The sequence below is a fragment of the Homo sapiens genome, chromosome 7, assembly GCF_000001405.40.
Source record: "Homo sapiens chromosome 7, GRCh38.p14 Primary Assembly".
NCBI classification, from domain to species: domain Eukaryota; kingdom Metazoa; phylum Chordata; class Mammalia; order Primates; family Hominidae; genus Homo; species Homo sapiens.
Window position 1 is genome coordinate 27667459 of NC_000007.14, and position 15721 is coordinate 27683179.

At 41.8% G+C, this 15721-nt stretch overlaps 1 long non-coding RNA gene across 1 annotated transcript in view, besides 1 other annotated feature; it reads left to right on the forward strand.

Annotated features, from left to right (window-relative positions):
- LOC105375211 (uncharacterized) overlaps nucleotides 1–15721 on the forward strand; it is a 75204-nt gene that overhangs the window by 19613 nt on the left and 39870 nt on the right. The window lies entirely within an intron of this gene.
- Nucleotides 10142–11341: an enhancer, noted in NCBI's record as "MED14-independent group 3 enhancer chr7:27717219-27718418 (GRCh37/hg19 assembly coordinates)". NCBI's record gives its function as "activates an origin of replication core promoter dependent on BRD2, BRD4, P300/CBP and CDK7 cofactors, and independent of MED14, by STARR-seq in HCT116 cells {active_cell/tissue: HCT116}" and the evidence as "EXISTENCE:reporter gene assay evidence [ECO:0000049][PMID:35650434]".

Sequence of the window (15721 nt, forward strand, 5' to 3'; positions counted from 1 at the left end):
GAGTTCCTCAGGTTCTCTGCTTTTCTTCTTTCCTTCCTTTCTCTTTTCCACACATTCTAATACTGCTTCTACACTCCCCACTTGTTAGGACTCAACTCAAAGTGACTTTCCTCAAGAAGTCTTTTTCTGAATAATATATAAGCAGTCATAAAAACAATCCAGTTTGATTAAGAAACTACATTTAAAGTCACTTTCAAAAACTATCAGCATCAGGTTTGGTTGGATAAAACAAAGTCCAAATGATAACAATTTGGTTTTTCCTCTCATAAAAGTAGTGTGGATGTAGGCAGAACCAGGGCCAGTTTGACAGCTCTGAGTTGTCAAAATTCCAAACTTCTCATTTTGTTTTACTGTCTAAAATGATTTTCTAACCTCATAATTACTTCATGATCAAAGATAGCTGCTAGTGGTCCAACCATCTTGTCTGAGTTCCAGGCAAGAGGAAAGAAAAGGAGGGAAAAGTAAAGGAAAGAGGTGTGTCAGCAAACTGTTCTCATTTTCAGAAGCCTCCCTATAAGTCCCACCCCACAATTGTCCTTCCCACTGGCCAGAACTTAGTCACTTAGCCATAAGATTTGGATGGCATGACAAGTCTTTGTTCTAGGCAGTTTTAAAAATTTTGGAACACAAAACACCGGTAAGATAATTGAGTTGTGTCCTAAGATAAGAGCAAATCTAAGTACATATTATTGCATTTATTTAAATGGATTAAAGTTGGAGACATCAGTATGAACTCATGCTTAACTTAATATAGATACAGATGGTTACATATAGAAATATTTATCAATGTGTATATAGACACAGGTTAGTATACACATGTCTCTTTGCTCTGTCATCTGAGGGGGCCTAGAAGCAATTATAATCCAGTAGCAACAATTGTGTGTTTTCCAGTTCTATATGTCTACCTTTGACTGTGGTCAACAATTATCTTGTAATTGGATTGCAAGATCCTTGTAAATATGGATTACAAAAGGTTATTGAATAAATTTAATTACCATGAAATAAATATCTGTTGATTTTGCCAATTATTATTATCATACAACCCAATTTATATTCAGAGTTATTTTACTTACTATGTGGCCCTCAACATGCAAATTCAATATGAACATATAATCAAATGAATTAACTATATTCTTTTGTTTCTGTTTCATAAAACATATCCAAACATGTTAATGTTCATAAATACTATTGAGCAATGCACTACATCTTTCATTATCTTTTTTCTTTTCTTTTCTTTTTCTGAGACGGAGTTTCACTCTTGTTGCCCAGGATGGAGTGCAATGGCGTGATCCTGGCTCACCGCAACCTCTGCTTCCCGGGTTCAAGCGATTCCCCTGCCTCAGCCTCCCAAGTAGCTAGGATTACAGGTATGTGCCACCACACCGGCTAATTTTATATTTTTTTAGTAGAGATGGGGTTTCACCATGTTTGTGAGGCTGGTCTCGAACTCCTGACCTCGAGTGATCCACCTGCCTCGGCCTCCCAAAGTGGTGGGATTACAGGTGTGAGCCACCACACCCAGCATACTTTCTAATATGGCATGATAGTAAGGAGCCTGAGACTTATCTCTTTTGATGATGTCTATGGTATAAAGGTGTTACAAATTCCCATAAATCACTGTTCCATCTTGATAATTTTGTTCCTCAGTCATGGACCTGAATTTTTATGACCTCTCAGTATGGGAAGATTCAAAATCATCCTTACTTTTTTGCTAGTTATATAACTAGCAAAAAAAAAATTAACTAGCATATGAATTAATAATATTAGAAAGGGATGTATACAAGTGATAAAACTTTTTTTTTTTTTTCTGAGACAGAGTTTCGCTTTTGTTGCCCAGGTTGGAGTGCAATGGCATGATCTTGGCTCACTACAACCTCCGCCTCCCAGGTTCAAGTGGTTCTCCTGCCTCAGCCTCCCGCGTAGCTGGAATTACAGGCACCTGCCACCAGGTCCAGCTAATTTTTTGTATTTTTAGTAGAGACGAGGTTTCACCATGTTGGCCAGGCTGGTGTTGAACTCCTGACCTCTGGTGATCCACCCGCCTCCACCTCCCAAAATGTTGGGATTATAGGCGTGAGCCACCGCGCCTGGCCAAAACTATTTTAATTCTAATAAAGACCACATAGTAAATCAGTCTTTATGTCACAAGTTGTCTTAGTTCATTTTGTGCTGCTGTAACAGAACACCACAAACTGGGTAATTTGTAAAAAACAGAAATTTATTTCTCACAGTTCTGGGGTCTGGGAAGTCCAAGATTAAGGTGGCATCTTCTGTGGGCCTGCTGGCTGTGTCCTCACATGGCAGAAGAGTGAAAGAGGGCAAATGTACTCCCACAAGTCCTTTTTATAGTGGCAGAGCCCTCATGACCTAAACACCTCCCAGAAGGCCCCACCTCCCAATACTGTTGCATGGGGGATTAAGTTTCCAGCTATCAATTTTGGGGAACACATTCAGACCATCGCACAAATTATTTTAAAATTTTAATTTGCTTAAAGAAATAAAAAGAGGGTGTTGGTCTGCATTACTGAAAAGTCTGTAGTAGAGAGACTTGTTCCACTCTACCTGCCATGGTCTTGGCTTCATCTTCAAGCATCACGCACTGTCCTAGTTGCTCCCCTGGCAGTGGCCAGTGGCTATGGCTGCTTACATTCTCATACTGAACCATCCTGGGGTGGATATGAACTTTCTTATGGAAGACGGAGGAAACTTTTGTCCTCACAGATACTGATTAGATTCTTGCTTACCTCTGAATCAATTACTATTGCCATAACAATGGAATAATACAAAGCTCTGGTATCAGGGCTCACAGTGGAGCTAAGTTGAGGTCATTCTCACTCAAACTATGGCTTGAGCATGGGAGATGAGGGAAAGATATGTTCTGGGTTTTTTAACCCACAAGAGGATGAAGGGCTACAGGATAACAACAATGGGTGTCGACCTCAGACAGTGACTGAGCAAATTAATACATAGACGTGACTTTAAACAGGGTTTTAGACTGGCAGCTCCAGGTAAAATCTCATCTTCAAAATGTACTGCAGTGCTTTTAAAAATTGGAATCACAATCTGTCATGGGATTAGACTGAAATAATAAAAGAAAAAGAAAAAATTGGAATCAGATGCCTTTGGAGAAGTCAGGCAGTCTCCCATGTTGACATCGTATGTTTATGTAACCTACTGGCCCCTTTGTGATTGAGGAAGCAGTGGATCAACTTTGTTCAATATCCCATATACCAATTATAACAAAAAAAGCTGAAGTATATGGTTTTGCTGTTGTTTATTTGATTTTGTTCAAGAGTTTAATTACCAGAGACTCATAACATAATTCTGGTAGCCTTGGATCACTCTGATATTTCCTAGTCAGATTACTTCTACATCTGGCCCAAGATGGTTCAGTTCATCTTCCAACCCACTTCCAATTCATCTTCACAGATCATAAAGCAATGGCTTGCCATCCTAAGTGCACATTAGAATTTTTTCGAAATGTGAAAGTCCAGTCCCCATCCAAAAGTAATTTCTAAGGTGAGTCATCAACCATTTGATTTTTTTTTTTTTTTTTTTTTTTTTCAGATGGAGCTTTGCTCTTGTTGCCCAGGCTGGAGTGCAATGGCACAGTCTCGGCTCACTGCCACCTCCGCCTCCCAGGTTTAAGCAATTCTCCTGCCTCAGCCTCCCGAGTGGCTGGGATTACAGGCATGTGCCACCATGCCCAGCTAATTTTGTATTTTTAGTAGAGATGGGGTTTCACCATGTTGGTCGGGCTGGTCTCGAACTCTGACCTCAGGTGATCCACCCACCTCAGCCTCACAAAGTACTGGGATTACAGGCGTGAGCCACTACACCCAGCTGAATTTATTTTTAATTTCCTCAAGTTCTGCTTTACAGTGATAATTGAGAGCCACTTCCATAAAAGGTAAAACTATCTAAGACATAAGAGATGCTCAGGAATAAATCATGCTAGCAGTGATAGCAAGCATAGAAAGAAAGAGGCAGGTATGAGAGATATCTGGGGTGCAAAATTAATATTATCACTTACTTCCAGGGGTTGAAGGAGACTTGAAGGAGAATGGATAATCTAGGTAGATTCCCAGGCGTTTGGGTGAGTGGATAGATGAAAGTGCCATCTCCCAACACAGGGAACTGTGTAACAGTGAGTCGGAAGTGGACATTATTCAAGGGCAGTTGGCCATATGGAGAGTGTGAGTTAGAGATATATATCTGGGAGTCGTGGGCTAATAGATGATACTTAAATCATCAATGTAGATGGGGTCATCCAAACATTTATAAAATGAGAAGGCAACATGGTTTCTGATAAAACCCCTGGGAACACCCCTAAGGAGGTGGGAAAGGGTGTAGAAAAATAAGTTTATGAAGATGGAGAAGGAGGGGCCGTTGAGGAGGAAAACAAGAATGATGTCATAGAAGTTGAAGCAGCAACAAAGCTTAAGGAAGGAATATTTCACAGTGCTGGTTATTATAATCAGTGATTGGTAAGATAAGTACAGAAAAGTCGGTATAGGCTTTTACAGCTAAGAGTTATTGTTGACTTTAATAAGGGAGAGCAGGTTCAGTGAAATGGTGGGGCCACTCACAATAGGTCAAGGGAAGAATGAGAAATGGAGAAATAAAGACAATGAATCTTGCCCACTTTTTCAAGAAACATGGCCTGTGAAGGAAAGGAGAAATCAGAAGACAGCAAATTTAATGAAGGTTTTTATTTGTTTGTTTTCATTTTAAAGAGGAAAGAGATTTGAGTATGTTTAAATGCTAAGGGGGAAAAGTGAGTAGAGGGCTGGGCAGGGTGGCTCCCACCTGTAATCCCAGCATTTTGGGAGGCTGAGGTGAGAGGACTGCTTGAGCCCAGGAGTTCAAGACACGCCTGGGCAACCCAGCGAGACACTGCCTCTACAAAAAATAAAATAAATTAGCCAGGTGTGGTGGTGCATGCCTGTGGTCCCGACTACTCGGGAGGCTGAGGTGGGAGGACTGCTTGAGCCCAGGAGGTTGAGGCTGCAGTGAGCCATGATCACGCCACTTCATTCCAGCCTGGGTGACAGAATGAATCCCTGTCTCAAAAACAAAAAACAAACTTCCCCATTTAGTTTATACATGTGGCAAAGTAGTTAGCTGAATTGTGTTTATGTTCTAGTGTTTTGTGGAAGGTAGAACTCAGAAGTGATGAAATTGGAGGTTTCTAACAAGTGTTAAAGGAGGGGCTTGGTTCCTTCCATTTATAGTAAAATGCAGCAGGAGAGAAAATAATTGAAGATGAAATTGTCAAGCAAAAAGGAACCAGAAGTCAAAGCAATGTTTAGCAAGTCGCAAAAGAGTACGTGCATTTATATGGTACTCAAAACAGGCAGAACAAAAAGTATTTCATTTTTTGAATACATATACAGATAGTAAATCTATGGTGCTGATTTATTATTATTATTATTATTATTATTTTGAGATGGAGTTTTGCTCTTTTTGCTCAGGCTGGAGTGCAGTGGCATGGTCTTGGCTCACTGCAATCTCTGCCTCCCGGGTTCCAGTGATTCTCTTGCTTCAGCCTCCCAAGTAGCTGGGATTACAGGCACCCGCCACTACGCCCAGCTCATTTTTGTATTTTTAGTAGAGACAGGATTTCTCCATGTTGGCCAGGCTGATCTCGAACTCCTGACCTCAGGTGATCCACCCGCCTCGGCCTCCCAGAGTGCTGGGATTACAGGTATGAGACACCGTGCCCAGTCTAAAACTATTATTTTAAGCAAGAGAATAATTAACACAGGTTTCAGTTAGAGGTTACCTCTGATTGGGAGGAAGGGAAGGCAGATTTATTATTATTCTTTACATAATAGTAAGGTCAGGAAAATTTCACAGGGATTATTCCATGAGTCTAGATCAATGATTCAGAGAAATCAACATGTTTTATGTATTCTTAGTCACAGGGCATGACACTGAGCAGAACATTTCCAGCCTACCTTGCAGCTAGATTTGGTTATATAACTAAATCTGGGCCCATAACCTATGAGCAGAAGTGATGTGTGTGACTTCCACATCTTTCCTTAAAGCCAGAGTCCCCTGCCCTCGACATTTTTTTTCCATTCCCACAGACTAGAATATAAACATGGAGAGAGCCAGTTTCAACCATATGGATGAAGACAATACCTAGAGAGGTGGTAAAGCAAGGAGACAGAAGAAACTTGGGTATCCGAATGAAACCCAGGCCTCTGCTCTAATGAAGTAAGACCCCCAGGCCAGCCCTGGACCTCTTACTCTAGATTTATAAGAGAGAAAGAAACTTCATTTTATTTAAGTCAATATATTTTGGAGTCTCTTTATTATAGCAGCTTAGCTTGCACCTTGACTAATAAAGCCACTGCCATGTATTTTTTTTGTAAATGTCAGTAGATAGGCATGAATTTAAAAATGGAATCGTGTGCACAATAGCAAAGACTTGGAACCAACCCACATGTCCATCAATGATAGACTGGATTAAGAAAATGTGGCACATATAGGCTGGGCGTGGTGGCTCACACCTGTAATCCCAGCACTTTGGGAGGCCAAGGCAGGCAGATCACAAGGTCAGGAGATGGAGACCATCCTGGCTAACACGGTGAAACCCTGTCTCTACTAAAAATACAAAAAATTAGCCGGGTGTGGTGGCGGGCGCTTATAGTCCCAGCTACTCCGGAGGCCGAGGCAGGAGAATGGCCTGAACCTGGGAGGCAGAGCTTGCAGTGAGCTGAGATCCCACCACTGCACTCCAGCCTGGGCAACAGAGCGAGATTCCATCTCAAAAAAAAAAAAAAAAAAAAAAAGAAAAGAAAAGGAAAAAGAAAATGTGGCACATATACACCATGGAATACTACTCAGCCATAAAAAAGGATGAGTTCATGTCCTTTGCAGGGACATGGATGAAGCTGGAAACCATCATTCTGAGCTAACTATCACAAGGACAGAAAACCAAACACTGCATGTTCTCACTCATAGGTGGGAATTGAACAATGAGATCACTTGGACACAGGGTGGGGAACATCACACACTGGAGCCTGTAGGAGGGTGGGGGGCTGGGGGAGGGATAGCATTAGGAGAAATACCTAATGTAAATGATGAGTCGATGGGTGCAGCAAACAAACATAGCATATGTATACCTATGTATCAAACCTGCATGTTGTGCACATGTACCCTAGAACTTAAAGTATAATTAAAAAAAAATAAATAAAGTAGCAAAAAAAAATGGAATAGTGTGCATGTGCCATGGTATACAAGAAGACCAGCTGCTTCCACATCCTGGAAATGTCATTTTCTCAGTGCCTGGGAGTAATCAGGCCCTGAGAGACTGGGACAAGTTGTCTGAAAAGCACAAGAGACCAAAATAGGTACCAGAATGCAAATGTATTAATTTACTAGGAGAAATAAAACAGCAATACCCCTGTGGACATAATCAGCATATTCCCTCTCCTGTAATGAAGCTACATAGGAAGCTAAGCCATATTCAGAAGTCATTTCCATGATTTGCTAGAAATGTTTGAAGTTCAGGTGGTCAACCCAGGCTCTCCCTGGTTGATCTACATTGGAATTAGATGGTTCCTTCATGAGTATGAGAGAAACAGATAAATCAAATGTTTAGTGAATGTCCTGTTACTTTTGTGACCATATTAAGAGGAAGTACTCAAAATCAATGCCTAACTCTCCTATATTTATCTTTGCATTGGAAATGGTATTGCAAGGCCAGGCACAGTTGTCTCAGGTCTATAATTCCAGCATTTTGGGAGGCTGAGGTGGGAGAATCACTTGAGGCCTGGAGTTCAAGACCTGCCTGAGCAAAATAGTGAGACCATGATTCTACAAAAGAAAGAAAGAAAAAATAAATGGTTTTGCAACTGGAACCAGGAATAGGTCAAATTTAGGTGGCATAGTTTCCTTTTGCTTGGACAGTGGACACTACTGGTGTTTGCCTTTGTGACTTTTCTTTTTTTGAGACAGGATCTTGCTCTGTGGTCCAGGCTGGAGTACATTCATGTTCTTAGCTCAGGCATGTTCTTAGCTCACTGTGGCCTCAACCTCCTAGACTCAAGCAACCCTCCCATCTCAGCCTCCTGAGTAGCTGGGACTATAGACATGTGCCACTACAACTGGTTAATTAAAAAAAAAAATTGGTAGAGACTGTGCAGGCAGCGGGGGGCCTCACTAAAATTCCTCACTCAAGCTCAAGGGATCCCCCCACCTCAGCCTCCTGAACCACTGGGATTACAAGCACAAGTCACTGTGCCCAGCCCCAACTGTGACTTTTCTCATCCCAAGGGCTGATCCAAAGAGTATTGCTTGCCTTTCAGGAGATTTTCACCTGTTGGGGGGAAAAAATCTCCCTAGATTAGTAGACTTTCTGGGAAGTACTATCTTTGTTCTGAAGATATGCTATGTGTATTTTTTGGAGACAAAACATCTTTCTTTTAGGACATGACAGCAGTAGTAGACTGTTAGATCTTTTTCATGCCAGTCTTGGGTAAATTGAAAAGTTGGCAGCACTTCATCACATTCTACAATTTTTTTTCTAACTTGGTCATAAAATTCAAAGTCCTGGAACTACTGTTCTGTCCTGCCACAGTTGAACAACGACTTGTTTTGATTGATACATTCTTAAAATGTGATAATAACTTCAAACTGGTTTCATTAAAATTTTCTGGGCCTTTGGCCGGGCGTGGTGGCTCACGCCTGTAATCCCAGCACTCTGGGAGGCCGAGGCGGGCAGATCTCGAAGTCAGGAGATCGAGACCATCCTGGCTAACACGGTGAAACCCCGTCTCTACTAAAAATACAAAAAATTAGCCAGGCGTAGTGGCAGGCGCCTGTAGTCCCATTTACACGGGAGGCTGAGGCAGGAGAATGGCATGAACGCGGGAGGCGGAGCTTGCCGTGAGCCGAGATCACGCCACTGCACTCCAGCCTGGGAGACAGAGCGAGACTCTGTCTCAAAAAAAAAATTTCTGGGCCTTCGAGCTATCCTTCATGTGATTCCTTTTAGTTAGTTTTATAACTAAAAATTTAGGGGCATTTTGTTTTATCACATTCGCAAGTTATCAATGCATATCACTATAGCTCTCAATTATTCACAACATCCTATGGATTCACTTTCTAAGAGCACAGGAATCATGTCATAGTAATAATAACAATGATCTCTACCATTTATTGAGCATACTGTATATGCTAGGCACTATGTAAGTCCTTTACGTGGAGCAATTCAGGTCAACCTTTCAGCAACCCTTTGAAGCAATTATAATTATTCTTTGCATTTGAAGAGAAAACAATTAGGAAATGAAGAGGTTGTTAACTTGTCCAAGATTACACAGCTATAAATAGGACTAGAACTCAAAAAAAGGCATCTGATTCCAAAGGCCATGCTCATAACCACTATATATTCTGTCTTTCAAAAAATCAGGGGCTGCATCCCCATTGGGAATTTGAACTCTGGTTTTCCATGAGAAAACAAAACTAGTGAGGCCTTGCAGGGCTTTTTTTTTTTTTTAATATTTAATACATAAAAAATATTCAGTGCTAAACCTAATCTATACCATCCATATACAAAAAACTTTCATTGTGTAGGGTAGAATAATGAAAATATTTCTCAATAAATTTTTTTTTTTACTCTTTCTATTTGTAAACTTTTTGTCCCTAAAGAGATTCCTAACTACAGCTTTATCAAGAACAGTATACTTTAAAAAAGAAGTGGCCAGATGCAGTGGCTCACGTCTGTAATCCCAACAGTTTGGGAGGCCGGGGAGGGCAGATCGCTTGAGCACAGGAGTTCGAGACCAGCCTGGGCAACAAGGTGAAACCCCATCTCCACTAAAAATACTCAGGAAGCTGAGCTGGGAGGATCACTTGAGCCTGGGAGGCAGAAGTTGCAGTGCGCTGAGATTGTACCACTGCACTCCATCTTGGGCGACAGAGACACTGTCCCTCCCCCCAGAAGAAAAGAAGTCTATTCTTTCTTGCAGGTCCTTTTTTTGTTTTGTTTTGCTTTGCTTTGCTTTGTTTTTCCAACACACTTTCTGATTTTAACCTACTCAGCCAATGTGACAGAGATAATACCAGCCCTTGTCTCTCTATTCCATTTTCTGGGATATGGTCTTGGGTTCTGTTTAAGGAAGGTCCTGTCTCTGATTTGCATGTCTTTCTGCCATACTGAATCCTTCAAACCTTCCTTGGTCTTCCTGCACTGATCTCTCCTGAGTGTACCCTATGTAACTTGTCCTAATGGGGGTCTTTTGGGAAGTCTACAACATATGCCAATTTTCCGCATATTATTAGCCTCGGCTTTAGTGCTTTGGATCTCCCAACCATATTATGTAATGCTTGATGTATTAGGGATTCCCATTCTGAACTCTAAGAAAAATAATCAAACCAAAAATTACATTCAAGACTTTCTCCAGTGGTTTCCGTATATTAACTGATATGTCAAGGGCCCCCAAAACCATCCCCAGATTTGGTTATTTGCTAGAAGGACTCAGGAGTCAGCATATGGTCACACTCATGGCTATGATTTATTATAGCAAAAGGGTACAAAGAAAAATCAGCAAAGGCAAAAGCACATGGAGCAAAGTCTAGAGGAAACCAAGCTCAAGCTTTTGATAATTCTTTCCAAATGAAGTCACAGAAGACACGCCTAACTCCTTAGTAATGAGTCATGATGACATGTGGGAAGTGTTTTCTACCAGAGAAGCTCATTATACACTCTGCACCCAGGGTTTTACTGGTGGTTAAATCACATAGGCATCCTCTGCCTACCACCAAATTCCAGACTCCCAGAAATAAAGCAGGTATTCATCATAAACTCACATTGTTTGTATAGTTTAGGTATAGTAAGCCACTTTTATCAGTTAGCATAGTAGAAACCTTTCCCAAATTCAAGTTCGCAGATGTCAGCCAAGGGCAAACCTGGTAAGGAGCCAGGCCTGCCATGTTAACTGTTTTTTGTTTTTTTAAATATCTAAGGAAATACAAATAGAGGAGCTCTGGTAGAACAGATCTAAGGCAAATCTCTTGAGGGAGAGCCAAGGGTCTGAGGCTGGAGTCACCAGACATAACTGTCAAGTCCAAAGGTCTGCAGCTTGACAGTGAATGGGAAAGAAAGCTAAAATGGGAAACCGAGCAGGAAGTTGATTGAAGTACAGCCCACTGAATGCTTTGGTCAGAATTGATTCTTCCCAAATGCTGCTAGGTGCCCAAAGTTACCCTTCCAGGTGCATAGGTGAATCAAGCAACCTAAAGATACAGAGTCAAGATTGGCAAACACTCTCCAGATGCCACCCCACCCCCACCCACCCACCATGACATGGCAGATTCCTCAGGGAAGAAAGGCTATGACTGGTCACTGAGGTGAGTGTTTGTATTAGAAGGCCAGTGTTCTGAGTTTTCCATTTGTTTTTCCATTTGCTTTTTCCATTTGTTTCCAGCCAAAGTCTAATAGCTCTACAGTGTCTGACATGACCCATTCTTTCAATGATGCATTTGTGGCAGATGCTGAATTATGTGTATAGTACCCCACAACATATAGCCAACTATTCTTGAAGAAAAAGAAAAGCCCCGCCTCACTTTAAACCAGGCTGCAGTGTCCCATGCTCCTTGGGAAGAATGAGAGGCTATGTCAGGAATACTGTGGCCTGCACACAGTGACCTTAGGGCGTCATTATCCACTCACTTCCTCTGCAGCCAGTAGTAACAGGCCCTGAGAGGCTCATCAGAGAGTTAGATCTCTAAGGAGGCTAAAGCCTTGGGCATCTCTCTCAGGAAATAAAACAGTTTTTCCAAGCCCAATTCAGATGTTTGAATACTGGCTATAAATATTAGTTTCCTAGCAATTGATTAACAACATTTTTCATGACTCTCTGAACTAATAGACTTATTTGGTCCCTGGATCTTGCCTCTCACACACCTCTGGTGCTGAAAGTCCTGGACTGAAATGGATGTGGTATGTTGATCTCCAGGCAAACTGGAGAAATTCAATTCTGAATGCCTTGCTTGTAGAGAGCACCTCCTCAGACCCAATATCTATTCATAGATTTTGGATTTTACAGCCTCTGGCCACACATTCACTAGTCTAACTCTCCCACTGACTATTCTCTGAAGCAGCACTATGCAAAAGAAACATAATTTGAGCCATTTAAATTTTCTAGTAGCCACATTTCAAAAGAGGATAGAGAAATAAGTGAAATTAATTTTAATAATATATTTTATTTAACCTGATACTAAAAATAGTATTTCTTCATATAATCAATATTTAAAAATGATTAACAATATATTTTACACTTTTTTAGACTAAATCTTTTAATTCCAGGTTCTATTTTATGCTTGGAGTACATCTCAATTCGTACCAGCTACCTTTCAAGTGCTCAGTAGCCACCTGTGGCCAGTGGCTACCGTACGGGACTTTGAAGTTCTAGGGAAAGGCCAGGGGGTCACTCAGAATCCAGCAGTCAGGAAGTCTGTGACCCTGTAATGCACCCTACACATTAGCATTCAATGCCATTGTCCTAAGAAAATACCTGCAGATGTGCCCTGCTACATGCTTAGTATTTTCACACAGACTGATGCCAGATGAGTTTAATTACTAGGGTAGAAGAGCAGCTCCTCACCATAAAGTTCACCTTCAACTCCTAAAGACCCCGCCTCAAAAAGATCTATTGCCAGGCATGGTGGCTCACGCCTGTAATCCCAGCACTTAAGGAGGCCGAGGCAGGTGGATCGCCTGAGGCCAGGAGTTCAAGACCAGCTTGAGCAACACGGTGAGACCCCATTTCTATTTAAAAACAAAAATACAAAAATTAGCTGAATGTGGTGGCACAGGCCTGTAATCCCAGCTACTGGGGGTCGGAGGTGCGGGATGCTGAGGTGGGAGGATCGCTTGAGTCCAGGAGGTCAAGGCTGCAGTGAGCCATGATTTCACCACTGTACTCCAACCTGGGTGACAGAGCAAGACCCTGTCTCAAAAATAGAAAAAAAGACTTAGCACTCCTATTAAGTTCAGAATGAAGCCCTTAGCAGATATGTGCCACTATAAATTAAGGCCAGAGGCTTAATTCTTCCACTGGTTAATTTTAGGTTTTAAGGTGCTTTGAGACCAAGAAGTCAGAAAATTATCCCCATTCCAGATCTTTCATTCAAAAACCTCTGCTATATAGTCCTACAACCTCAAAAGAACTGGCAAAACTCATACAGTGCCACCAAACAAAATTTCTGTATCTGTCCAATCTTACAGGGCTCTGAGCATACCCTGAGAGTCAGCCATGTGAACTAGGAGTAAGGAAGGCCTCCCATGCAAATACAGCCAGTTACATGTCCCAGCAGACAAGGCCTAGGTCCAGGTCTTTCTGCTGTGCCAGGATGCAATCTGAGAGGGCCACTGGGGCCCTTTCAAGGAAACTAATTTGACTCATTAGGGACTCTAATGGTCCCGTGTGTAACATAACTTCTTTCATTAGTCAGGCAAGTGCAAATGGTACTCCTGGCCAAAAAATAAATGGGTGATTCCCAAAATGCTATTATTCTTTTTTCTGCCCCCTAAGCCTGCTAGGGTACAATGTCATCCAATTTAATCATAAACTTTCCTGTTTATCTGGGTTCATCTCAGGGAAGATGGGGCTATTAATGAAGATAGTTTTATTTATCACTTGTGCCTGACTACACTTGACACTGGACACTCAACCATCACCTGCAAAATGTGATAGAACAGTATAGACCACTGAGTAGATTCCTATCATACATGTAGAACCCTTTAGAGGACCTACACTTGTGACTCGCCTTGTAAGACATCACTTCCAGGTCCGAATGTACTTCCTGTTACCCCTAAACTCATGGCTAAGAATTCATCAACCACGTGCTAGAATACTTCAAATTTAGGGCATCTTCTTAATAGGGTAATTGCCCTTAATAGGCCAAACTTCACACTATGAAATTTTAAAAAATAACTTCATTCAGCCAATATTTAAAATACATACTACAATTATGTGTTTCAATCTGTCTACATTATTTGGGCTGCTGTAACAAAACATCAGCCGACAACAGAGGAATGAATAAAGAAATCATGGAGGCTGGGCGCAGTGCCTCATGCCTGTAATCCCAGCATTTTGGGAGGCCGAGGTGGGCGGATCATCTGAGGTCAGGAATTCAAGACCAGCCTGGCCAACATGGTAAAACCCCATCTCTACTAAAATTACAAAAATTAGCCAGGCGTGGTGGTAGGCGCTTGTAATCTCAGCTACTTGGGAGGCTGACGTGGGAGAATTGCTTGACCCCAGGAGGCAGAGGTTGCAGTGAGCCAAGATCGCATCACTGCACTCCAGCCTGAGCGACAGAGCAATACTGTCTCAAAAAAAAAAAAAAAAAGAAAGTGTGGTATATTTGTATATATACAAAAACATATATAAATATTTACATATATGTGTAAAAATACAAATATATTTACATATCTATGTACCACAATGTGTGTGTGTGTGTGTGTGTGTAAAATGGATATTTATTCCACCTTAAAAAGGGAGATCTTGGTCAGGCACAATGGCTAACACCTGTGATCCCAGTGCTTTGGGAGGCCAAGATGAGAGAATCATTTGAGGCCAGGAATTCAAGATAACAGTGAGCCATGATCATGCCACTGCACTCCAGCCTGGGTAACAGAACAAGACCCTGTCTTTTTAAAAAACAAAAAACAAAAAAACAAAGGCAGGTGCAGTGGTTCATGCCTGTAATTCTAGCACTTTGGGAGGCCCAGGCAGGTGGATCACCTGAAGTCAGGAGTTTGAGACCAGCCTGGCCAGCATGGTGAAACACCATCTCTACCAAAAAAAAAAAAAAAAAAAAAAAAGAAGGCTGGGGTGGTGGCTCATGCCTGTAATCCCAGCATTTTGGGAGGCTGAGATGAGACGATCACAAGGTCAGGAGTTCGAGACCAGCCTGGTTAACACGGTGAAACCCCTTCTCTACTAAAAATACAAAAATTAGCTGGGCATGGTGGTAGGCATCTGTAATCCCAGCTACTCGGGAGGCTGAGGTTGGAAAATTGCTTGAACCCGGGAGGTGGAGGTTGCAGTGAGCCAAGATTGCACCACTGCACTCCAGCCAGGACGACAGAGCAAGACTCCGTCTCAGGGAGGGGAAAAAAAATACAAAAAAGTAGCCAGTCATGGTGGCAGGAGCCTGTAGTACCAGCTACTTGGGAGGCTGAGGCAGGAGAATCACTTGAACCTGGTAAGCGAAGGTTGTGGTGAGCCGAGATTGTACCACTGCACTCCAGCCTGGGTGACAGAGCAAGACTCTGTCTCCAAAAACAAAGGGCTCCTGTGATTTCCCACAACGTGGATGAAACTGGATAACATTATGCTAAGTGAAATCAAGCCAGACACAGACAGAAAAGTGTTACATTATCTTACTTATAAGTTGAATCTAAAAAAAAAGAGTGAAATATGCAGAGATAGAGAATAAAACAGTGGCTACCAGGGTTGGAGGGTGGAAGGAAGAAATGGGGAGATGTAAGTTAGAAGCCACAAAGTAGCAGGTATGTAGGATGAACAAGTCTAAGGAGCTGATGTACAACACCATGGCTATAGTACGGCTAGAGTTAATAAAACTGTGCTGTATTTAGAATTCCTGCTAAATGAGTAGATTTTACCTGCTCTTACCCCCTCTACACACAAAATGAGTTACCATGTGAGATGATGCATATATTTGCTCCACTCTAAAAATT